General features: G+C 39.7%; 1 long non-coding RNA gene and 1 other non-coding gene across 8 annotated transcripts in view; both read left to right on the top strand.

The window, feature by feature from the left end:
- MIR325HG (MIR325 host gene) overlaps positions 1–26,692 on the top strand; it is a 356,735-nt gene that overhangs the window by 82,871 nt on the left and 247,172 nt on the right. The window lies entirely within an intron of this gene.
- On the top strand, positions 12,302–12,389 carry MIR384 (microRNA 384). The gene has a single exon (NR_029909.1). It is a non-coding gene; the product is annotated as a microRNA 384 (primary transcript).

The raw sequence follows: 26,692 nt of genomic DNA, 5'->3' as shown, positions 1-26,692 counted from the left end.
ATTTATAAGCCAGGAAGATAGTCCTTATGCAAAATCAACCCTGACATCTTGACCTTGGACTTCTAGACTCCAGAACCATGAGAAAACAAGTATTTGTTGTTTAAGCCATCGAGTACATGGTATTTTGCTCAATCTGAGTTGTATTACAGTCTAAAGAGCAGATCTTCTAAGCTTGGGCGGTGGCAGTGGAATATACTGACATGTGGGGTGCCCCTGGTTTGAAGATTTTATTTGTATGTTGCTCTTTAGGTCTCATTTAGGACCCGAATTAAAGACTAGAACATATTTTGTTCAACCTCCTCTCCATTTTGCCATTCTTCCCTCTTTAACTCCAAGGTATTCAAACTATATACTCTCTGCTTTTTTCCCCCCAAGAGGCATTATCCAGGCACCAAAAACAGAGATGGAAAGAGACAGGTTTAATCCAAAGCACCAGTTTCCATTACTTTAAGCTGCCTCAATGATTTTTCTGATGGAGTATAATTCCTCACACTTGGTCTGAAGCCCAAGATATATGCAATACTTCAATCAAATTGCTTGCAACATATTGGAGTGAGTGCCTGGGAACGATGAGTTCCTCAAATATATTTTTTAAGAAAGGCTGAATACTTAATATACAGGCACTGAACTAAAGGAGGAACGGTTTTCAAAGTTTCTACATTGTGGGGAGTTACCCCAATGTTGAAGTTGTTCGGTTTTGCATGGCACACAAAGGTGTAGAGTCATAGCCTATGTCAGAAATTATAGATTCGAGGAGCTTCATTTCAAGCCCTCAATATTCTTGCTCTGGCTTCCTATTGCATTCTAATCTTCTATTACATTCACTCTTTTATCACTCTTTTAGTAGAGTGTCATATACATGTATTTGAGTGATTGCATCGTATTTGATGGCCACATGCTAGGCCCCAGAGATAGACAGATGAATCTATACAGGCCTTTCTCTTTTTTCAAAATTTTGGGAATGTAAGTCTCTCTATTGCTTTCCAGGCTGTAGTTCAGCAGCTATTCACAGGCACTATCGCAGTACACTGCAACCTTGAACTTCTGGGCTCAAGAGTTCCTCCTGCCTCATCCTCCTGAGTAGCTAGGAATACAGGCATGTACCACCATGTCTGGCTCTACAGTTCCTTCTCTTTTTTTTATTTTTTAATTTTATTATTATTCTACTTTAAGTTTTACGGTACATGTGCAAAATGTGCAGGTTAGTTACATATGTATACATCTGCCATGCTGGTGTGCTGCACCCATTAACTCGTCATTTAGCATTAGGTGTATCTCCTAATGCTATCCCTCCCCCCTCCCCCGACCCCACAACAGTCCCCAGAGTGTGATGTTCCCCTTCCTGTGTCCATGTGTTCTCATTGTTCAATTCCCACCTATGAGTGAGAACATGCAGTGTTTGGTTTTTTGTCCTTGCTATAGTTTGCTGAGAATGATGATTTCCAATTTTGTCCATGTCCCTACAAAGGACATGAACTCATCACTTTTTATGGCTGCATAGTATTCCATGGTGTATATGTGCCACATTTTCTTAATCCAGTCTATCATTTTTGGACACTTGAGTTGGTTCCAAGTCTTTGCTATTGTGAATAGTGCCACACTAAACATATGTGTGCATGTGTCTTTATAGCAACATGATTTGTAATCCTTTGGGTATATACCCAGTAATGGGATGGCTGGGTCAAATGGTATTTCAAGTTCTAGATCCCTGAGGAATCGCCACACTGACTTCCAAAATGGTTGAACTAGTTTACAGTCCCACCAACAGTGTAAAAGTGTTACTATTTCCCACATCCTCTCCACATCTGTTGTTTCCTGATTTTTTAATCATCGCCATTCTAACTGGTGTGAGATGGTATCTCACTGTCGTTTTGATTTGCACTTCTCTGATGGCCAGTGATGATGAGCATTTTTTCATGTGCTTTTTGGCTGCATAAATGTCTTCTTTTAAGAAGTGTCTGCTCATTTCCTTCACCCACTTTTTGATGGGGTTGTTTATTTTTTTCTTGTAAATTTGTTTGAGTTCATTGTAGATTCTGGATATTAGCCCTTTGTCAGATGAGTAGATTGCAAAAATTTTCTCCCATTTTGTAGGTTGCTAGTTCACTCTGATGGTAGTTTCTTTTGCTGTGTAGAAGCTCTTTAGTTTAATTAGATCTCATTTGTCAATTTTGGCTTTTGTTGCCATTGCTTTTGGTGTTTTAGACATGAAGACCTTGCCCATGCCTATGTCCTGAATGGTAATGCCTAAGTTTTCTTCTAGGGTTTTTATGGTTTTAGGTCTAACGTTTAAGTCTTTAATCCAACTTGAATTGATTTTTGTATAAGGTGTAAGGAAGGGATCCAGTTTCAGCTTTCTACATCTGGCTAGCCAGTTTTCCCAGCACCATTTATTAAATAGGGAATCCTTTCCCCATTTCTTGTTTTTCTCAGGTATGTCAAAGATCAGATAGTTGTAGATATGCAGCGTTATTTCTGAGGGCTCTGTTCTGTTCCATTGATATATATCTCTGTTTTGGTACCAGTATCATGCTGTTTTGGTTACTGTAGTCTTGTAGTATAGTTTGAAGTCAGGTAGCGTGATGCCTCCAGCTTTGTTTTTTGGCTTAGGATTGACTTGGCGATGCGGGCTCTTTTTTGGTTCCATGTGAACTTTAAAGTAGTTTTTTCCAAGTCTATGAAGAAAGTCATTGGTAGCTTGATGGGGATGGTATTGAATCTATAAATAACCTTGGTCCGTATGGCCATTTTCACAATATTGATTATTCCTACCCATGAGCATGGAATGTTCTTCCATTTGTTTGTATCCTCTTTTATTTCATTGAGCAGTGGTTTGTAGTTCTCCTTGAAGAGGTCCTTCGTGTCCCTTGTAAGTTGGATTCCTAGGTATTTTATTGTGTTTGAAGCAATTGTGAATGGGAGTTTCCTCATGATTTTGATCTCTGTTTGTCTGTTGTTGGTGTATAAGAATGCTTGTGATTTTTGTACATTGATTTTGTATCCTGAGACTTTGCTGAAGTTGCCTATCATCTTAAGGAGATTTTGGGCTGAGACAATGGGGTTTTCTAGATATACAATCATGTCATCTGCAAACAAGAACAATTTGACTTCCTCTTTTCCTAATTGAATACCCTTTATTTCCTTCTCCTGCCTGATTGCCCTGGCCAGAAATTCCAACACTATGTTGAATAGGAGTGGTGAGAAAGGGCATCCCGGTCTTGTGCCAGTTTTCAAAGGGAATGCTTCCAGTTTTTGCCCTTTCAGTATGATATTGGTTGTGGGTTTGTCATAGATAGCTCTTATTATTTTGAGATACGACCCATCAATACCTAATTTATTGAGAGTTTTTAGCATGAAGAGTTGTTGAATTTTTAAAAGGCCTTTTCTGCATCTATTGAGATAATCATGTGGTTTTTGTCTTTAGTTCTCTTTATATGCTGGATTACATTTATTGATTGGTGTATGTTGAACCAGCCTTGCATCCCAGGGATGACGCCCACTTGATCATGGTGGATAAGCTTTTTGATGTGCAGCTGAATACGGTTTGCCAGTATTTTATTGAGGATTTTTGCGTCAATGTTCATCAAGGACAGTGGTCTAAAATTCTCTTTTTTGGTTGTGTCTCTGCCCAGCTTTGGTATCAGGATGATGCTGGCCTCATAAAATGAATTAGGGAGGATTCCCTCTTTTTCTGTTGATTGGAAAAATTTCAGAAGGAATGGTACCAGCTCCTCCTTGTATCTCTTGTAGAATTCGGCTGTGAATCCATCAGGTCCTGGACTCTTTTTGTTGGTAAGCTATTGATTATTGCCACAATTTCAGAGCCTGTTATTGGTCTATTCAGAGATTCAACTTCTTCCTGGTTTAATCTTGGGAGGGTGTATGTGTCAAAGAATTTATCCATTTCTTCTAGATTTTCTAGTTTATTAGCATAGAGGTGTTTGTAGTGTTCTCTGATGGTAGTTTGTATTTCTGTGGGATTGGTGGTGATATCCCTTTTATCATTTTTTATTGCGTCTATTTGATTCTTCTCTCTTTTCTTCTTTATTAGTCTTGCTAATGGTCTATCAATTTTTTTGACCCTTTCAGAAAACCAGCTCCTGGATTCATTAATTTTTTGAAGGGTTTTTTGTGTCTCTATCTCCTTCAGTTCTGCTCTGATTTTAGTTATTTCTTGCCTTCTGCTAGCTTTTGAATGTGTTTGCTCTTGCTTTTCTAGTTCTTTTAATGGTGATGTTAGCGTGTCAATTTTGGATCTTTCTTGCTTTCTCTTGTGGGCATTTAGTGGTATTAATTTCCCTCTACACACTGCTTTGAATGTGTCCCAGAGATTCTGCTATGTTGTGTCTTTGTTCTCGTTGGTTTCAAAGAACATCTTTATTTCTGCCATCATTTCAATATGTACCCAATAGTCATTCAGGAGTAGGTTGTTCAGTTTCCATGTAGTTGAGTGATTTTGAGTGAGTTTCTTAATCCTGAGTTCTAGTTTGATTGCACTGTGGTCTGACAGTTTGTTATAATTTCTGTTCTTTTACATTTGCTGAGGAGAGCTTTACTTCCAACTATGTGGTCAATTTTGGAATAGGTGTGGTGTGGTGCTGAAAAAAATGTATATTCTGTTGATTTGGGGTGGAGAGTTCTGTAGATGCCTATTAGTTCCACTTTGTGCAGAGCTGAGTTCAATTCGTGGATATCCTTGTTAACTTTCTGTCTCATTGATCTGTCTAATATTGACAGTGGGGTGTTAAAGTCTCCCTCATTATTGTGTGGGTGTCTAAGTCTCTTTGTAGGTCACTGAGGGCTTGCTTTATGAATCTGGGTGCTCCTGTATTGTGTGCATATATATTTAGGATAGTCAGCTCTTCTTGTCGAATTGATCGCTTTACCATTTTGTAATGGCCTTCTTTGTCTCTTTTGATCTTTGTTGGTTTAAAGTCTGTTTTATCAGAGACTAGGATTGCAACCCCTGTCTTTTTTGTTTTCCTTTTGCTTGGTAGATCTTCCTCCATCCTTTTATTTTGAGCCTGTGTGTGTCTCTGCACATGAGATGGGTTTCCTGAATACAGCACACTGATGGGTCTTGACTCTTTATCCAAATTGCCAGTCTGTGTCTTTTAATTGGAGCATTTAGTCCATTTACATTTAAAGTTAATACTGTTATGTGTGAATTTGATCCTGTCATTATGATGTTAGCTGGTTATTTTGCTCGTTAGTTGATGCAGTTTCTTCCTAGCCTTGATGGTCTTTACAATTTGGCATGATTTTGCAGTGGCTGGTACTGGTTTTTCCTTTCCATGTTTAGTGCTTCCTTCAGGAGGTCTTTTAGGGCAGGCCTGGTGGTGACAAAATCTCTCAGCATTTGCTTGTCTGTAAAGTATTTTATTTCTCCTTCACTTATGAAGCTTAGTTTGGCTGGATATGAAATTCTGGGTTGAAAATTCTTTTCTTTAAGAATGTTGAATATTGGCCCCCACTCTCTTCTGGCTTATAGAGTTTCTGCCGAGAGATCCGCTGTTAGTCTGATGGACTTCCCTTTGTGGGTAACTCGAGCTTTCTCTCTGGCTGCCCTTAACATTTTTTTCTCCATTTCAACTTTGGTAAATCTGACAATTTTGTGTCTTGGAGTTGCTCTTCTTGAGGGGTATCTTTGTGGTGTTCTCTGTATTTCCTGAATCTGAATGTTGGCCTGCCTTGCTAGATTGGGGAAGTTCTCCTGGATAATATCCTGCAGAGTGTTTTCCAACTTGGTTCCATTATCCCCGTCACTTTCAGGTACACCAATCAGACATAGATTTGGTCTTTTTACATAGTCCTATATATTTCTTGGAGGCTTTGTTCGTTTCTTTTTATTCCTTTTTCTCTAAAGTTCCCTTCTCACTTCATTTCATTCATTTCATCTTCCATCACTGATACCCTTTCTTCCAGTTGATCGCATCGGCTCCTGAGGCTTCTGCATTCTTCACGTAGTTCTTGAGCCTTGGCTTTCAGCTCCATTGGCTCCTTTAAGCACTTCTCTGTATTGGTTATTCTAGTTATACAGTCGTCTTAATTTTTTTCAAAGTTTTTAACTTCTTTGCCTTTGGTTTGAATTTCCTCCTGTGGCTCGGATTCGTTTGATCGTCTGAAGCCTTCTTCTCTCAACTTGTCAAAGTCATTCTCCATCCAGCTTTGTTCCATTGCTCGTGAGGAGCTGCATTCCTTTGGAGGAGGAGAGTTGCTCTGCTTTTTAGAGTTTCCAGTTTTTCTGCTCTGTTTTTTCCCCATCTTTGTGGTTTTATCTACTTTTGGTCTTTGATGATGGTGATGTATAGATGGGTTTTTGGTGTGGATGTCCTTTCTGTTTGTTAATTTTCCTTCTAACAGACAGGACCCTCAGCTGCAGGTCTGTTGGAGTTTGCTAGAGGTCCACTCCAGACCCTGTTTGCCTGGGTATCAGCAGCGGTGCCTGCAGAACAGCGAATTTTCATGAACCGCAAATGCTGCTGTCTGATCATTCCTCTGGAAATTTTGTCTCAGAGGAGTACATGGCCGTATGAGGTGTCAGTCTGCCCCTACTGGGGGGTGCCTCCCAGTTAGGCTACTCGGGTTCAGGGGTCAGGGACCCACTTGAGGAGGCTGTCTGCCCATTCTCAGATCTCCAGCTGCATGCTGGGAGAACCACTGCTCTCTTCAAAGCTGTCAGTCAGGGACATTTAAGTCTGCAGAGGTTATGGCTGTCTTTTTGTTTGTCTGTGCCCTGCCCCCAGTGGTGGAGCCTACAGAGGCAGGCAGGCAGATCTCCTTGAGCTGTGGTGGGCTCCACCCAGTTTAAGCTTCCTGGCTGCTTTGTTTACCTAAGGAAGCCTTGGCAATGGCGGGCGCCCCTCCCCCAACCTCGCTACCGCCTTGCAGTTTGATCTCAGACTGCTGTGCTAGCAATCAGCGAGACTCCATGAGTGTAGGACTCTCTGAGCCAGGTGCGCGATATAATCTCCTGGTGCATCATTTTTTAAGCCCATTGGAAAAGTGCAGTATTAGGGTGGGAGTGACCCAATTTCCCAGGTGCTGTCTGTCACCCCTTTCTTTGAATAGGAAAGGGAACTCCCTGACCCCTTGCACTTCCCAAGTAAGGCAATGTCTCGCCGTGCTTCAGCTCGTGCACAGTGCACTGCACCCACTGTCCTGCACCCACTGTCTGGCACTCCCTAGTGAGATGAACCCAGTACCTCAGATGGAAATGCAGAAATCACCCGTCTTCCGCATCGCTCATGCTGTGAGCTGTAGACCAGAGCTGTTGCTATTCAGCCATCTTGGCTGCCAGCCTATGGGTCCTTCTTTAAGCAGCTTACAAGCTAATAGTCTCAGAGGGGAAAATTTTAAAGTGTCATGCATGATGAATAGAACTATAGAAGCTTGCTCCACATAAAGAAACCATACATGAGGGAATGGGGTCCACCCCTGCTCCATTTCTGACCACTAATTTCTCTAACAGCCTTGGGAGGCAGTACAAAACAGAAAATGGATCTTTTTCATGGGAAGTGTAAATTTTGGGTTCTAAGTCTTCTGTTGTATTGATTTTGATCAAGTCACTTCTTGTAGCATATACAAATGTAATATTATTTTCTTTCTTTACCATAGGGAAGGAGTTTAACAAACTTTAAGGAATGAGATATGCCCATCAATACTTTTTCTCCCAGTAGTGAGTCTCTGCCCCTGAGCAGGAGGTTTGGTCTTTTCAACAATTTAAAAAAAAAAAAAATCATGGAAAGCAGGAAAACATGGAAAGCAGGAAGTGTGCTGACATTTCAGCAGGATGGATGTGTGCAAAGGTCTTAAGTTTTAGGCATCTGAGAATGAAATTCTGGGAATAACAGGTACCCAGGTTTCACCTGTGTTTCCCCTTGATGTCCCATTTGACGCTAAGACACTTGCTGTAACAGAGGTGTAGATGTTTCAGCTGAGAAGAGGAAAAGATACTTGGGTGAGGGGAGGGAGTGATGCTGCTATATAGCACGGAAATTTGAGATGATGGGCATTGGGGGCTCCATACTTTTGCACTGTGTCCTCTTAATGGCGAGCCCCATTTCTCTAGGGATTTCCAAGGCCAAGGGCAGGAAGGAGATGTGAAGAAGGAGAGGAGGGGCTGTTGCCCAAATGGAAGTTTGGAGATCAGGATACCTGGATTCTAGTCCTAGTTCTGCCATTGACTTGCTGTGTAACCTTTGGCAAGCCATTTCTTAGGTCTGGTCCTCAGTTTCTTTATATGGAAAAAAGTGGTTCAATTTATTGATCTCCAAGGTTCTGACTCACTCTGACCTTCGATACTTTTGTGTCCTCAAGTTCTTTAGAGAGGAAGCAAATATCAAGACTGTTAGGCATCCTAACCTGGAAGTTATATAATATAGAATAATTTTAATAAACAATTTTAGAGTACAAAAACATGAGGTATGTGGCCGGGTGCAGTGGCTCACGACTGTAATCCCAGCACTTTGGGAGGCTGAGGCAGGCTAATCACTAGGTCAGGAGATCGAGACCATCCTGGTTAACACGGTGAAACCCCGTCTCTACTAAAAATATAAAAAAATTAGCCAGGTGTGGTGGCGGGCGCCTGTAGTCCCAGCTACTCAGGAGGCTGAGGCAGGACAACGGCATGAAGCTGGGAGGTGAAACTTGCAGTGAACAGACATGGTGCCACTGTACTGCAGCCTGGGCGACAGAGTGAGATTCCGTCTAAGGAAGAAAAAATAAAGAGGTATGCTTTGTGTTACTAGTTTTCTACTCTATGCACTTCCCAGAGTTTCCAGGATAAATACTCTGTCCTTTTGTCCCTAGAAACAATCCAAATATCTGGAAAATTGCAATGTTTCACCATTCCAATTACATCTCCAAAATTGCCCCATTCAATCAAAAAGGACTTCAGAATATCAAAGTTTTTTTTTTTTTCAACAGGAGTCAATGAACAATTTTTGCTTCAGAAACTAGAGTCGCCATAATTCTGTAGCACTTATCTGATCTTTTCTTTCTAGGTTTTCCTCATGTATATCAATTTCTTTATCAGTATAAATAATTATCAAAGCAATTGAAAGTTTGATCAATGTAATCAGTATGGATCACTTATTACTCATAAATGACATGTGCTTGGGAATATGAAGAACCAGTCTTAAAATTATACATTTACAATAAATGCTTGGAGTAGACAAAGAGGTCAACTAGGTTTCTCCACTGTAAGGTTCTGAAGATAATTAGAGAGCAGAAAAATTTGGGAAGTGGGGAGGACTAGCAACAAACAGGGAGAAGCTGGAAGTTTCAAATAGCCTTTGTATGTGGTCTTCACTTGTAGGGACTGGAAATTAGCAGGTTTGGACTTAGGTGAAGGATTGCGCAAGTGATGCCTGCCTGAAATTTTATCTTTAGCCCAAATCTCTATCCTCAGAATTTCACAGTGCCTGTTCTATCTCTCGATTTGACACCTCAAACTCATTTATCTTCCCTCCCAGACCCCTTTCCTTCTGTTACTGGCACCACTATTTTTTCCTGATCACTAAGAATAATAATCTTGGCAATATCTCTGAATCTTCCATTGCCCTGCTAAATCCAGTCAGTTGCCAAGTTCTATGGATATTCCTTTATAATCTTTCTCACAATCAGCAACCCCTTTCCATACTTACTGCCACCACTCTCATTTAGGCCTTCATGACTTCCCATTCTAAATACTATATTAACATATCTCATCCATTCCCTTTAAACCTTGTCATCTTCAATCAATAAAAATCTGCAGAAGCCTTTAGCTTAGTTTCTTTTTCTACCCTTAGTATTAGACCAAGTGTATGGGGAGATTACATTGTCAATTTTCAGTGGTATGGGTGCATTTTGCATAGAGGGAGGTAGAGAAAGAATAGCATTCTCAGTTACAAGGAACAGCATCAACTTGTGCAATTTCCTGGAATAGTTGGAGGCAATTTCAGAAGTACAAAGTAGCCTAGTGAAAGATTCTCCCGTACTTACATTAGTGTCAAACTTTGAAACACTCCCATTGTATATTTTACCTGCTAATTTGAACGTTAAAACAGACCTGACACCTATAATTTTCCTATGACAACAACCCCATAAGATTTAATCTTCTTTGCTTCTTTTATTAGATACTTATATCAGCTGAATGTTTTTCTGTTGCTTTTTGTCCTCTAGCCTCATCTGATCCATCTCACAGATGTTGGGGATTCAGGGATTTCCCTTAGGTTTAAGTATCTCCCATCATTACCAGCATTGGCCTCTTCCCACAGTCATGTTCCCATCAATCACATGGACTTGGCCACATGGCAGCTTTGCTGAAGGGCCCTGCAGCCATCTCCCACAAACCCTTGCCAAGAGGTGACATTCAATCTATCCACAGAGAATATTTCCATTCTGCCAAAACTGTAAAACTGTCTGGGATTGTAGTACCTTCCAGTTATGTGCACTAGGAGGCACCTTTTAAAGACATTAATCAGTTCCCTAATGATTTCATGGTACAGCAGGTGGAGCTCAGGTGACTTGTGGCAGGAAAGTAAGGCCACAGCAATGCTGGCCTAGTGGTTTAAGGTCAGAGCCCCTGAAACTCTTAAGTCACAAGGCAAGAAAAGTCCACTGGGCATTTCTGGGACCTGTCCCAAAGATGAGAGAATATCCTAAATACTAGGAGAACACAAATGTCCTAGTTGTCAGGTGAAGGATGCCCCCTAAATGGGGCTTATAGGATTACTCAGCCTATTACTGATCTCAGCCCCATCATTCTAGGGCTGCCATCTCCTCAGTGGGCCTTCTTGGCTGGATCTAGAAGCATCTCTGGAGGGCTTGCCCAGTGTCTCAGGCACGTACAATACTTCCACCTAACTCAAACCACATGCAGAAAGATTATGTCATACTTGGCATTTAACCAGTTGAGAAAGGCATCAGAGGGTGTCCAGACTTCAACTTGTTTGAACAAATGTTCAAAAAACATTTCTAAGGGGATATTCCAGAAAAACATACCCACTTAAGCTCTTAAAACAGATGGTCATTCTCTAGGATTGTGTTGCTTTTCAGCCATTATTATTGAGTGCTGTAAGTGATACCAAATCACTTTAAAGTTTGAATTATGATGGCTCTTCAGATTTTTCTTGCAGGTTTATTGTGGGTTAGGAGAAGGATGTGGCAGAGAGCAGTACACAATGCTGAGAAAGAAACATATTGTTGTACTTCAGAGTCTGGGCTTCAGAGTTGGGCAGGTAAAGGCTTAGATCCCTGACTAACTGGGTGACTTAACTTCTTCAAACCTCAGTTTCTTTATTTATAAAATTAAGATAATAACATTGCTTACTTGATGGGTTTGTGAAAGGAACTAAAAGAGATATCACATATAAAGGGTCACCATACTGCATGCTATGTAGTAGTAGTAGTACTGTTGCTGCTGCTATTTCTAATACAGGCAGTGGGGGCTATTCCCAAATTAGATGGAGAGTTGAAGAGGGCCTCAGGGTCATGATTTTCTAGCCTAAGAAGAAGGTGGTCAGACCATGGAGAAAGATTCCAGGACTGCAATTTTAGCTTGGAAAAGGGTAAATGCCAGAGCATGCAGGGACCTGATATTTGATTTTCCTCATCTGAGAACGAAGCTCTTCTTCCCTTCATTAGTTTGCTATGTGCCCTAGCTCAAGCCACTGTAGATCTCTGGGTTTCAGTTCCCACACTTGAAAACAAAACCCTATGGCATGTATTTGCAAGCTAGCTGGCCTAAACCAGTCTTAATCTGTGAATGGAACATGGCATATGCAAACTCGTCCACAAGGGACATGATATTAGTCTCTGAAGGCACTAAGCTAATCTAATCAGCTCCTAATCCAGAGATATGCTATAGCCATCACCAGCCATCATCATCATCTTTGTTAACAACAGCCAAGCAGTGATATCTTGGGCTCATTGCCAGAAGGAAGCATGTTCTTACTTTCAATATAGCCATCATGTTGGTATTTCACGTTGTAAAATGTTAGATTTTTAAATATGTATCATATGTTTGGACTTATGGTTGTACAACTCAATAAGAAGTTTTATAACTTTCTTTAAAAAGGACTGAATCAAAATTTTCTTTGCACTTACATTCTTTCATTTACTTTATGTAGTCTTCTACACATGCGTCTTAAAAAATACAGTATAGTTATTTGGCTATTACCTATGCTGTATTACATTTTTTATAGATAATCAATTATCTGGTTATATGTCAGGCCTGCAGAAATAGTGCCTTCTGATTTGATGCCAGTGTATGATCAAGTTCCTTGCCTTTTAACTAGTATTTATGTTATAGGCAGAATGTTAAATCAGGAATTTTAAACAATTCCTAGACAATATGTATAATGTTCATAAGTCATTCCTAGAAATTGTTCATAATGCCTGTAACATATATGCAAATAACAAGATGCCTGAAATACATAGGAAACCTTCAAGATGCTAACTGGCCATCTCTATGACATCTTTGGATTGCAACATTTGTTTTAGCAATTCTACTTATTTGTCTGTTTATATGTCTACATATTAATCATAATTCTAGTAATAATAATGCTACTTAATTTTTATAGCTCTCACAAATTCCTGAATTTTTACTAGCTGTTTGGTGATTCAGGGCTTTGAACACGCTCATTTTAAGAGGCACTAGAAATAAAAGAAACCAACAAACAGATATAAAGGGAAGCTTGTTTATCAGATCCTCTAAAGCCCCATCCAAATTTTCTTATTCCTGTTCACAAGCTTTAGCTCAAGCTTCCTTTCCTTTTCCCTACCTTACTCGACTCCATGTAAGCAGTTTTTAATATCCTAACTCCTCCAAGTTTTCCTAGGCTACTCAAAAGAAACCCAATAAATTGTACCAACCTCCTCTGTGTCAACATGAAACTTCCTTGCCTTTCCCTGCTCACCTCCCTGTTAATGGGCCTGAGTATGCACATGGTGTAATTGTTTTATCTATATATTTGATTCCCATCTGTATTTATCTTATTTTCATTTACTATTTTGAAATGATCTACACATTGGTTTATGTCAACATTGTCTATTATAGGTTATCTCTATATAATCATCCCCGACAATTTGGAGATGAAGAAGAAAAATGTTGAATTAGTTTAGCCTTTGAGAGTTAAGATCATATTGCATCACCGACTGGAATTCTTTTCTCTCTCAGGCTGGAGTATCTCCAGTCCATTCCAACAATTAAGCCATTTTGGTTAACTTCTGATTGACTAATGTAACTGGACCATCTCAGGAAGCCCAGTAAAATGAGGCCAGGGAATGAGCTAGCAACATGGGATGTGGAACCAAGGGGTAAACCTCTGATTTATTAGGCAGGGCCTTCTAACAATTGACATCAGAATCTATTATAGGTGCCAAGGAATTGACTGATGTTGTAAGATGCTGTTGAGCAATATTTGACAGTCATATAAATGGGTGCTTAAACCTGCTCAGATGAGAAACCTCACTCCCATTTTCATCTCTACTGTATCCAGAGATGACTCAACTGTCAGGGACCAGCTCAGATGTCTTTTCTTTGTGAAACTCCTCTAGTTGCTTTGGGTCAGACTGGCCTATCTTTTATTTTTTTTCTTTTTTCTTTTTTCTTTTTTATTTTTTTTGAGACGGAGTCTCATTCTGTCGCCCAGGCTGGAGTGCAATGGCACGATCTCTGCTTCCCGGGTTCACGCCATTCTCCTGCCTCAGGCTCCCAAATAGCTGGGACTACAGACGCCCGCCACCATGTGCGGCTAATTTTTTGTATTTTTAGTAGACACGGAGTTTCACCGTGTTAGCCAGGATGGTCTCGATCTCCTGACCTCGTGATCTGCCAGCCTTGGCCTCCCAAAGTGCTGGGATTACAGGCTTGAGCCACCGCGCTGGCCTGGCCCATCTTTAAAAAAAAAATAACAAAAAACTCCTCCAGCCCTTTAAGTTCATTTTGTCTCTAGCACTGAGTTTTGCCAATCTAATTATATACTGTATATACTTTTTATGTATGATAGTTTCATGTATGATTTTTTCACCTATGGTGACCATATTTTCCAAACTAAAAGTTGGAATACATTATCTGAAAATGTAGGTAGCCTATTTGAAATTAATAGTGCCTTGGAAAATGGATGCTCCTTCCCCTCTGTGTGCCTCACCTACTAAATATTCAATATTGGCTGCTATTGATGATACAAGGATAAAGAATGATGCAAGGTGGTATCTACTAAGTGTCAAGTGAAGGACACTAATATACTTTGGACTTTTTAGTACAGAGAACCATTGACCAAATACGTTGCTACTATGCTTGAGGAATGATGCATTGATTCTGAAAAAGAAAAGAAATATGGTGTGGGAAGGGAATAATGGCAACAAAAATACTAGTAGCGAGAGATATTACGTAAGAAACATGTCATATAAAACATCATATGAGGATAGTCTAAAAAGATGGGTGCTTGTTATTCAGAAAGACAAAAGTAAAAGGGGTATCACTGAAGTCTGTAAAAGGGTGGATCAGGTGGACTTGGATTTGTTTACTGGACTAGCTATATTCCTGAATACCAAAATTTCAAGTAAATTTAGGAAAATGAAAGGGGTGATGAGCACTTGGAATTTGTTATTTTGAGAAGTGGTAAAGGCTGAGAATATAGCTTAGGAGAAGAGTTTAGTTTTATTTAAGGCAAGGATATTAAACTGTTTTTATTCATTAACCTTTTAGCTGAATTAGTTAAGAAGGTAACTGGTTAATCCATTTTAGACAAGAAAGCAGTCATTTTATTTGGAGTCAGCTCTGATGATAGCAACAAGAAGAAATGTCTTTTTTTATTATTATACTTTAAGTTTTAGGCTACATGTGCACAATGTGCAGGTTAGTTACATATGTATACATGTGCCATGCTGGTGTGCTGCACCCATTAACTCGTCATTTAGCATTAGGTATATCTCCTAATGCTATACCTCCCTCCTCCCCCCACCCCCATGTCTTGCAGTGAGGGTAAGATAAATGTGGAGAAAATTATTAAAGAACAGCAATCAGGAATCAGCTTAGGGGATAACTTTCCTGCATACCTTAATTACCCTTAAGAGTAGCACAGCATAGTACAGTGATTCATTTTTATAATAGTAACCTTGAAACATTAAGGCAAATTTAGATTACATTCCATGTACTCAGTTCATGTGTACTTCATGGTTTTTAAAAATAGGACTCCAAGAAATTGTTTCTAATCAAATTGGAAACCTCATCACAACACCTTGGATGTTTTCATATCGAGAAAGAGGACTATAAGGTACAAATGATTTCCAAACATAGGAAGGAGTTATTTTTTTTAAGATTAACAGTCCAGTTGATGGAAGGCAAGATAGTATATTCCTGCTAGTAAAGCCGATTGAACTTTGAAAGGTCACAAACAAAAACTTATTTACATAGTACTGTTTTGACCCTTCTGCCAAATGCTAATAGCATTTTTTTTGGCAATTCAGGGAAATTAGAGAGCTCTGAAGTTCCAGCAGAGAGAGAGCAATCGTTATAGATATTCTTTAGATTGGATATCATCAACAAATACCAGAGTCCTTAGGAAAGCATTTTCAAATCTATTTTCTCTACTGAACAGTGCTCATGACTAATGGGCCCAAGGGACGGTGGCATTTGGAGGCCGTCATTCACTATGACAGCCTGCAAGCCAGCCACAGAGTAGGTGGTGGTATGCCAACAAAAACTGAAAGGAGGAGAGAAACACTTTTCGTTATGTAGCAAACCACTGGGTAAATTTAAGATTTATTGGAAAAGTTGGTTTTATTCCTTTTTCTCAGGAGGGTAAGCCATGCTTCTCATTATACCTAGCTTGGTAAATGATCTTTGGCATCAATGGTTTGTCCTGTATTTTTCACCAGTAATCCGGTCTACTAGATGTTAAGCTCATTGAAAGTAATGTTTATATCTGATTTTATCCTCTCTCCCCATTCATCCACCTTCCCCTCCACCTACCCAGCCACAATAGTGCCCTGCACATATTAACAGTTGCATAATTATTGCTAAAATAATAAATTTATTAAACAGTTTGTTAACTGCTATTAGCATATAAATAGAGTGTTATTAAACTGTAAGGGTTGGGGCACAAATGATCCCATCACCCAGGTACTTAGCATAGTATTCAGTAGATAGTTTTACAGCTCTTCCCTACCTCCCTCACTCCCACCTCTTGAAATTCTCATTGTCTATTATTGCCATCTTTATGTCCATGAGTGCTCAATGTTTCACTCCCATTTATAAGTGAGACCATGGGGAGTTAGGTTCTCTGTTCCTACATTAATTTGTTTAGGATAAAGGTGCATTCATGTTGCTGCAAAAGACATTATTTCCTTCTTTTTAAAATAGCCTCATAGTATTCCATGGTAGATATGTACCATATTTTCTTTAACCAGTTCATCATTGATGGGCACCTACGTTGGTCCTATCTTTCTGCTACTGTGAATAGTGTGGCAATAAACATATGACTGCATGTGTCTTTTTGGTATAATGATCTATTTTTCTTTGGATATATAGCCAGTAATCGGATTGCTGGGTCAAATGATAGTTCTGTTTTAAGTTATTTGGCAAATATCCAAACTGCTTCCCACAGTGACTGAACTAATTTAAATTCCCACCAATAGTGTATAAGTGTTTCCTTTTCTCTGCAGCCTCACTGGCATCTGTTATTTTTTGACTTTTCAGTAATAGCCATTCTGATTGGTGTGAGATGCTATCTCATTGAGGTTTTGACTTGCACTTCTCTGATGGTTAGTGATATAAAACATTTTTTTGTGTGTTTGTTGGTGGCTTGTGTGTCTTCTTTTAAGAAGTGTCTGTTCATGTCTTTTGCCTACTTTTTAATAGGGTTTTCTTTGTTATTGTTGTTGTTGAAATGTTTAAGTTCTTTATAGATTCTGGATATTAGACCCTTGTCAGGATGCATAATTCGCAAATATTTTATCTCATTGGGTAAATTTTCTGTTCACTCGATTGATGATTCCTATTGTTGTGCAGAAGCTCTTTAGTTTAATTAGGTCTCACTTGTCAATTTATGTTTTCTTTGCAATTGCTATTGAGGGCCTAGTCACAGACACTTTCTCAAGACCAATGCCTAGAATGGTAGTTCCTAGGTTTTCTTCTAGATTCTTATAACTTGAGGTTTTACATTTAAACCTCTAATCTAGTTTGAGTTAATTTTTGTATATGGTGAAAGGTAGGGGACCACGTTTAATTTCTGCATATGGCTAGCCAGCTATCCCAGAACCACTTATTGAATAAGGAATCCTTTCCTCATTGCTTGTTTTTGTTGACTTTGTCGAGGATCATATGGCTGCAGGTGTGTAGCTTTACTTCTGGGTTCTCAATTCTGTTCCATTGGCTTATGTGTCCATTTTCATACCAGTACCATGCTGTTTTGGCTACTTATAGTTTGAAGTCAGCTAATGTGATGTGACTGGCTTTGTTCTTTTTGCTTAGGATGGCTTTGACTATTTGTGCTCTTTTTTTGATTCCATATACATTTTAGAATAATGTTTTCTAATTCTGTGAAAAATGACATTGGTAGTTTGATAGAAATAGCGTTGAATCTTTAAATTGCTTTGGGCGGTATGGCAATTTAGTGATATTGATTCTTCCGATACATGAGCATGAAATGATTTTTGATTTTTTCATACCATCTATGATTACTTTGAGCAATGTTTCATAATTCTCATTGTAGAGATCTTTCATCTTCCTGGTTAGGTGTATTTCTAGATATTTTAATCTTTTCGTGGCTATTAGGAATGGTATTGTATTCTTGATTTGGCTCTCAGTTTTGACATTATTGGTGTATGGGAATGGTACTGAGTTTTATACATTGATTTTGTGTTCTGAAACATTGCTGAAGTTGGTTATCAGATCTAGGAGCTCTTGAACAAAGACTATGGGTTTTTCTAGATAGAAAATCATATTAACTGCAAAGAGAGAGAGAGAGTTTGATTTCCTCTCTTCCTATCTGGAGGCCTTTGATTTCTTTTTCTTGTCTGATTGCTCTGGCTACAACTTCCAGTACTATGTTGAATAGGGTTGGTGAGAGTGGGACATCCTTGTCTTGTTCCACTTCTCAAGAAGGAATAGTTCTAGCTTTGCCTGTTAAGTATGACATTGGCTGTGGGTTTGTCATAGATGGCACTTATTATTTTGAAGTATGTTCCTTCAATGCCTAGTTTTTTGAGGGGTTTTAACATAATGACATGTTGAATTTTATTGAAAGCCTTTTCTGCATCTATTGAAAAACGTTTTTTTTTGTTGTTGTTTTTTTTTGTTTTTGTTTTTTTTTTTTTTTTTTTTGAGACAGAGTGTTGCTCTGTTGCCAAGCTGGGGTGCAGTGGTGCAATCTTGGCTCACTGTGATCTCCACCTCCCGGGTTCAAGTGATTCTCCTTCCTCAGCCTTCCAAGTAGTTGGGACTACAGGCACACTCCACAATGCCCAGGGCTTTTTTTTTCGTATTTTTAGTAGAGACAGGGTTTCACCACATTGGCCAGGATGGTCTCGGTCTCTTGACCTCATGATCCACCCGCCTTGGCCTCCCAAAGTGCTGGGATTACAGGCATGAGCCACCACTCCTGGCCAATGTTTTTAGTTCTCTTTATTTGGTGAATCATATTCATTGGTCTGTGTATGTTGAACTAACCTTGTATTGCAAGAATAAGGCCTACTTGATCTTGGTGGATTAGGTTCTTGATGTGCTGCTGGATTCAGTTTGATAATATATTGTTGAGGAGTTTTGCACCTATATTCATTAGAGATATTGCCCTGAAGTTTTCTTTTTTTTGTTTTATGTCTGCCAGATTTTAGTTTCAGAATGATGATGGCCTCATAGAATGAGTTAGGGAGAAGTCTTTTCTCCTCAATGTTTTTTGGAATAATTTCAGTAGGATTGGTACCAGCTCTTCTTTATATGTTTCTTAGAATTTGTCTGTGAATCCATCTGGTCCAGGGTTTTTTTCTTGTTGATAGGCTTTTTATTACTGATTCAGTTTCAGAACTCATTATTGGTCAGTTCAGGGTTTCAGTTTCTTCCTGGTTCAATCTTGGAAGGTTGTAAGTTTCAAGAATTTATCTATTTTTTCCATATTTTCTAGTTTGTGTGCATAGAGGTGTTTGTAATAATGTCTAAGGGTTTTACAACCCCATTATAAAGTGGGGCAAAGGACATGAACAGACACTTCTTTTTTTATTGTACTTTAAGTTCTAGGGTACATGTATACAACATGTAGATTTGTTGAATAGATATACATGTGCCATTTTGGTTTGCTGCACCCATCAACTCGTCATTTACATCAGGTATTTCTCCTAATGCTGTCCCTCTCCGAGTCCTCTACCCCCTGAAGGCCCCAGTGTGTGATGTTCCCCTTCCTGTGTCCATGTGTTCTCATTGTTCAATTCCCACCTATAAGTGAAAACATGTGGTGTTTGATTTTCTGTTCTTGTGATAGTTTGCTGAGAATGATGATTTCCAGATTCATCCATGACCCTGCAAAATACATGAACTCATCCTTTTTTATGGCTGCATAGTATTCCATGGTGTATATGTGCCACATTTTCTCAATCCAGTCTATCATTGATGGACATTTGGGTTGGTTCCAAGTCTTTGCTATTGTGAATAGTGCCACAATAAACATATGTGTGCATGGAACACACACTTCTTAAAACAAGACATTTATGCTGCCAACAAACATATGAAAAAAAGCTCAACATCACTGATCATTAAATGGAAATCAGAGCCACAATGAGATACCATTTCATGCCAGTCAGAATGGCAATTATTAAAAAGTCAAGAAATAACAGATGCTGGCACAGCTGTGAAGAAATAGGAACGCTTTTACAGTGTTGGTGGGAATGTTAATTAGTTTAACCATTGTGGGAGACAGTGTGGCAATTCTTCAAATACCTAGAGGCAGAAATACCATTTGACCCAGCAATCCCATTACTGCATATATACCCAAAGGAATAAAAATCATTGTATTATAAAGAGACATGCATGCTTATGTTCACTGCAGCACTATTCACAATAGCAAAGACATGGAATCAACCCAAATGCCCACCAATGATAGACAAGATAAAGAAAATGTGGTACACATATACCATGGAATACTATGCAGCCATAAAAAAGAATGAGATCATGTTCTTTGCAGGGACATGGATGGATCCTGAAGCCATTATCCTCAGCAAACTAACACAGGGACAGAAAACCAAACACCACATATTTTCACTTCTACGTTGAAGCTGAACAATGAGTACATATGGACACAGGGAGGGGAACAACACACATTGGGGTCTCTGGGGGTGAGGTTGGGGGTTAGAGAGTATCAGGATAAATAGCTAATGCATGCATGGCTTAATACCTGGGTTTGCTGCAATTGATTGGTGTAGCAAATCACCATGGCACATGTTTACCTATGTAATAAACCTGCACATCCTGCACATGTATCCTGGAACTTAAAATTAAATTAAATTTTAAAAAGACAAAAAAATCTCTAAGCGTTTTTATACTTCTATGGGGTTGGTGGTAATGTCCATTTGTCATTTCTGATTGTGTTTATTTGGATTCTCTCTCTCTCTTTTCTTGATTTGTTTAGCAGTTGCTCTATTAATCTTATTTGTTCTTTCACAGAAGCAACTTTTGATTTCATTTATGTTTTGTGTGGTTTTTCTTGTCTCAATTTCATTGAGTTTAGCTCTGATTTTGGTCAGTTTTTTTCTGTTAGGTTTGAATTACTTTTCCCTTGTTATTCTAGTTCCTCTATTTATGAGTTTAGGCTGTTAATTAGAGATCTTTCTAACTTTTTCATGTGGGCATTTAACAGTACAAAGTTTCCTCTTAATATTGCTTTTTCTGTGTCCCAGAGATTTTGTTATGTTGTATCTTCATTGTCATTAGTTTTAATGAATTTCTTGATTTCTGCTTTAATTTTATTGTTTATCCAGAAGTCATTCAGGAGCAGATTGTTTAATTTCAATGTCATTGTATAGTTTTGAGACACCTTCTTAGTATTGATTTGTTTTTATTGTGGTGTGGTCTAAGAGTATGGCTGGTATGATTTTAGTTTTTTTGAATTTTTTGAGAATTGTTTTATGGCTAAAAATGTGGTCAATTTTAGAGTATGTGCCATGTGCATATGAGAAAATATATATATTCTGTTGTTGGGCAGAGTGTTTGGTAGGTGTCTGTTAGGCTCATTTGGTCAAGTGTCAAGTTTAGGTTTTAAATATCTTTGTTAATTTTCTGCCTTGATGATCCATCTAGTAATGTCAGTGAGGTATATATATTTAGGTTAGTTAAGTCTTCTTGTTGAAATGAACACTTTATAATTATCTAATGCCCTTACTTGTCTTTTTTTGATTATTGTTAGTTTGAAGTCTGTTTTGTCTGAAATTAGAATAGCAATCCCCACTCTTTTTGTTTTCTATTTGCTTGGTAGACTATTTTTTTTTTTTGACACAAAGTCTCACTCTATCCCCCAGGCTGGAGTGCACTGGTATGAACTCGGCTCACTGCAACCTCCACCTCCTGAGTTCAAGAGATTCTGCTCAGCCTCCTGAGTAGCTGGGATTACAGGCACATGCCACCATGCCTGGCTAATTTTTGTATTTTTAGTAGAGATGAGGTTTCACCATTTTGGCCAGGCTGGTCTTGAACTCTTGACCTCAGGTGATCCACCCACCTCAGCCTCCCAAAGTGCTGGAATTATACAGGTGTTAGCCACTGCAGCTGGCCTTGGTAGACTTTTTTTCCATCTCTTTACTTTGAGCCTATGGGTATCATTGTATGAGAGATAGGTCTCTTGAAGACAACATACAGTTAAGTCTTGCTTCTTTATCCAGCTTGTCATCTGCTTTTAAGTGTGGGCATTTAGTCCATTTACATTCAAGGTGAATATTGGTATGTGCAGCTTTCATCCAGTCATCATGTTTTCAGCTGGTTGTTATGTAAACTTGATTGTGTAGTTGCTTTCTATTGTCAATGGTCTGTGTACACTAAGTGTGCTTCTTTGTTGGCTGGCAATCGTCTTTCATTTTCAGGTTTAGCACTCCTTAAGGACCTCTTGTAAGGCAGATCTCATGGTAAAGAGCTTCCTTAGCATTTGCTTGTCAGAAAAGGATCTTATTTCTCCTTCACTTATAAGGCTTAGTTCAGCTGGATATGAAATTTTTGGTTGGAATTTCTTTTCTTTAAGAATGGTAAATGTAGGCTCCCAATGTCTTCTGGCTTGTAGGGTTTCTGCTGAAAGCTCTGCTGTTAGCCTGATGTGATTCTCATTGTAAGTGACCTGCCCCTTCTCTCTAGCTGCCCTTAATATTCTTTATTTCATGTTGACCTTCGAGAGTCTGATGACTATGTGTCTTGGGGATAGTCATCTTGTAGGGTATCTCACAGGGGATCTTTGTATTTCCTGAATTTGAATGTTGACCTCTGTAGTGAAGTTGGGGAAATTTTTGGGGACTATATCCTCAAATATATTTTCTAAGTTACTTGTTCTTTCTCCTTCTTGTTCATGGATGCCAATGAGTCACAGATTTATTTTTTTTCATATAATCCTGTATTTCTCGGAAGTTCTGTTCATTCTTTTCTTTACAAAAAAATATTTTTTCTTTATTTTTTGTATAACTGAGTTGATTGAAGGAACCAGTCTTTGAGCTTGAGATTATTTCCTCAGCTAGGTCCATTCCTCTATTAATACTTCTGATCATATTATAAAATTCTTATAGTAGGTTTTTATTAGCTCTATCAGTTCAGTCTTGTTCTTTCTTAAAATGACTATTTTATCTTTAAGCTTGTGAATCATTTTATGGGGCTCCTTAGATTCCTTGGATTTGGTTTTGACTTTCCCTTGAATCTTGAAAGTCTTCATTCTTATCCAGATTCTGAATTCTATGTATATTATTTTAGCCATTTCAGCCTGGTTAACCATCATTGCTTTGGAACTAGTGTGGTCATTTGGAAGTAAAGAGACACTCTGGCTTTTTGCATGCCAGAGTTCTTGTGCTGGTTCTTTCTCATCTGTGTTGGCTGATAGTCCTTTAATCTGAAATTAATGTCCTTTGGATGGTTTTTTTGCTTTTATATTCTTTGATGCCCTTGAGGGTTTGATTGTTGTATTAGGTGAGTTAAATAGACTTGCTTAATTTCTGGAAGATTTCAGGGGGCCAAGGCTCATCTCAGCACTCCTTGGCTGAATGCGCTAACACTGGGGTGCTGGTTCCAAGCCCACAGCTTTGTTCCCTGGCTCCTTGAGGTTAAGAAACTGCTGCACAGGAGGGCCTGAGGTGTTTCTGGTCCAGTGGTAACAACACTTTGATGGGGGAGTTCCAGTTAGTGAACTTAATCAGGGCATTGGCCGCAGAGTTCACATTCACATGTACGTGCCAAAAGCAGTGGTGGTATGGCATGGCGCATGTATGTTGGTGGCAGTGGGCCGCCTGGGGAGGTGAGGCAGTCACACTTATGTGCACATATGTGTGCCAGCAGGAGCAGTGGTGATGCAGAGTGTACATGCATGCTGGAGGTTGCAGTGCAGTGGTATCTGTGCACTTGGCCATGCCAGCCATGGCTGTAGTAGTGTAGCAGGGGACATGTGCATCAGCAGGGAAGTGGTGTCTGTGGGCTTGAGGTAGATGTCTCTGCATATGCACATTAATGCTGGTGTGTTGAGGCTTTTTATGATGAATGGATATTAGATTTTATCGAAAGCTTTTCTGCATCTATTGAGATGATTATATAGTTTTTGTTTTTAATTCTGTTTATGTAGTGAATCATATTTATTGATATGTTAAACCAACCTTGCATTCAAGGAATAAAGCCTACTTGATTGGGATGAATTAGCATATTGATGTGCTGCTGGATTCAGTTTGCTCATATTTTGTTGAGGATTTTTACATCTCTCTTTTCAGGAATGTTTTGGATCCATGCTCAGCCCCACAGGGGTAGACAAAGATGGGCAGGGCTGGACTGGGAAGGCCCTCCTATAGGTGTCCCAGTGGCAGGCACAACTACCAGCACCAAGGGAGGGTCCAGTGGGTAGCCACCATGCACCCAAATGTATGCCAAGGTGTGGATCTGGGAAATCTCCTTAGTCCCAATTTCTCTTTCTGGCAAGGGGAGGGTGGCCTAAACTCCTAATCCAGGAGAATGGGTGTTCCAGATGTCTGGAGATATGACTGGGCATGGAGCATAGAGTGCTCTGCTACATCACACTCTTCACAGGAATGGTTGGGTGGTTCAGGCTGCTGATCCAGGTGAGTGGGTGCTCTGAATGCCTGGAGACCTGCCTGGGCATGGAACAGAAGGGCCCCACTTCAACACAGACTCTGCATATGAAGGGTGAGACAGCTCAAGATCATGATTTTGGTGAATGAGTACTCCAAATGTCTGGAGATATGGTGGACATAAAGCAGAGAGGGCCTCCCTGCACCTGGACCTCTGCACATGAAATTTTGGGCAGCTCAGGCTGCCAATTCAAGTGAGCAGATGCTTTGCATGCCTGTATATCTGCCTGGGCATGGAGCAGAGAGGGTCCTATTGTACCAGGATTTCTGCACTGAGAGGGTGGGGCAGGTCTGGCTGCTATTCTATGTGAGTGGGTGCTCTGAATTCCTGGAGATCTGCCTGGGCATGGAGCAGAGAGGTCTCCACTGTACCATGATCTATGCACAGGAAGGGTGGGCTGGCTCAGGCTGCTAGTCCAAGAGAACAGGTACTGTGAGAGCCTGAAGATCTTTCAGGGCATGAAGTAGAAATGAACCTCTTGCACTCAAATATTTGCACAGGAAAGATGGGGTGACTCAGGCTGCTAGTCTATGTAAGCAGTTGTTCTGAAGTCCTGGATTTCTGCCTGGTTATGGAGTTGAGAGTGCCCCATTGCACAATAATCACAGGAGAGCAGCCCGGGGTACCCAGAGATGACACAAACAGACCATTTCTGGGTTGCCAGGCTGGCTCTGGCTGAAAGACTCATTACCCAGGAGAAAACATGGCTGTAGCAGCTCTCCTCTCTCCCCAGGCCTGTAGTAGGGGATAGCATAACTCCAGTGCCGACTGCTGAAGCACTTTCTACAGCTTTGTCTGTGGAGACCCCTACCCTGCTCCAGAGAAAGTGCTCCAATTTCTGGCCTAAAATTAAACGGCCTGCATGGCCATGCTGCTGAGTCAACAATGATCGATTGACTTACTATGTACCCAGATTAAAAATGGCATCCTGCTCTTGATCCCAGGTCTGGGAAAATGCCTGACATTTTTCCTGGTGTCTTTCCCTGTCAGCATCTCCAAGCCTCTCCCCAAATTAGCTCCAGGGCTTGGGAGAAACAAAGTGTTCTCCCTTGGCCTTGGTTTCTCATATCTGCAGTGGAAAAGTGAGTCACAGAAGGGAACCTCTCTGTCCCTCTCACATACTGGGGTTTCACTCACTTTTATCAACTGGACACCATCATAGGGGCTTTCCTCTACATTCTCCTCCTGGCATGTGGTGTGTTCTTCATGATTTTGGTAGATTCCCATTTTCCTTCTTGAATTAAAGCTCACAGAATTGATCATTATGCACTATTTTTCTATTTCCAAGTGGCTGAGCCATTCTAAAAGACTCTAATATGCCATTCTTGGAAAAAAACAGGATGTACTTTATGATAGAAGCAAGAACAGAAAATATGGTCCATGAAATGAGAGTTCTAATCGAAAGATTCATGAAAATCTCTCTGGAAGTCCTGCAAGTCTTTTGCTAAAGCCTAGTCCTGCCTTGTTAGTAGGGAATGACAAATTAATCCTTTATCAAAAAACCAAGAGCTTAATGTTATTTAAATCAGACTTTTTGACTCACTTGAAATATTTCTGGGGGACTTCTTTATGCTCAATTTTGTGTTACTTCAAGTGAAAGCTAGCTTAGAAACCTTAGTAGAACCAAGAACTTCCTGAATCTTCAACTATTATTGCTTAGTGGGTCCTATGCCTCTTTTGAGCCCAGCAAAGAACTGGAAATTATAGGAGACAGAAAAAGGTGTAAGGCTTTGTATTTGCCCTGGGAAGGCTTAAGGAAGAGCCACGTGGTTATCTCGATATTGCTTTCCTGCAAAGTACCACTCATCTTTCTCTGCCCCATTCCTTATTTTCTCATTCCATTCTCATTTTCTTCTTGGAGGAGAAATTCAGGCTCTCATCACCTTCTGTTTAGATTTCTGCAATAACTTCCCAAAAAGCTTCTCTGCTTCTAGGCTGCTCTCCTAAAATCTATGCTTTACATTGTAGCCAGAGGTTTTGTCCTAAAGCACAGATGTGATCATTTCACACCCTAGTTTACAAATCCTCAGTGGTTATCCATTGCTTATGGATTAATTTCTAACACTGGGAATAGCATTCAGTGCCTTTCACAGTGTGAACCTAAACTACTTTAGGTTGAACTCCCACCATATAAATGATCCTCTAGCCTCATCCAACTACTCCTTATTTTTTCAATACAGCACATTCTTACATACTGGTATATTACTTTATATATTTTACTCTTTACCTGGAATGTCCTTCTCTATCATTTGCTACCTGGAAAAATCCTACTTGTCCTTTCTGAAGTTTTTTTCAATGTTCCTAGGTGAAGTGAAGAGCTTATATTCATAGTCAGCTTTGTTCATAAACAGCCAAAATAGCCTTTGTGGTGTAACCTGAAGCCTGTTTGGAAGGTCT

This window comes from Homo sapiens, chromosome X (assembly GCF_000001405.40).
Source record: "Homo sapiens chromosome X, GRCh38.p14 Primary Assembly".
Taxonomy (NCBI): Eukaryota; Metazoa; Chordata; class Mammalia; order Primates; family Hominidae; genus Homo; species Homo sapiens.
Note: the sequence above shows the minus strand (reverse complement) of the source record. Positions and strands in the feature narration are given on the sequence as shown.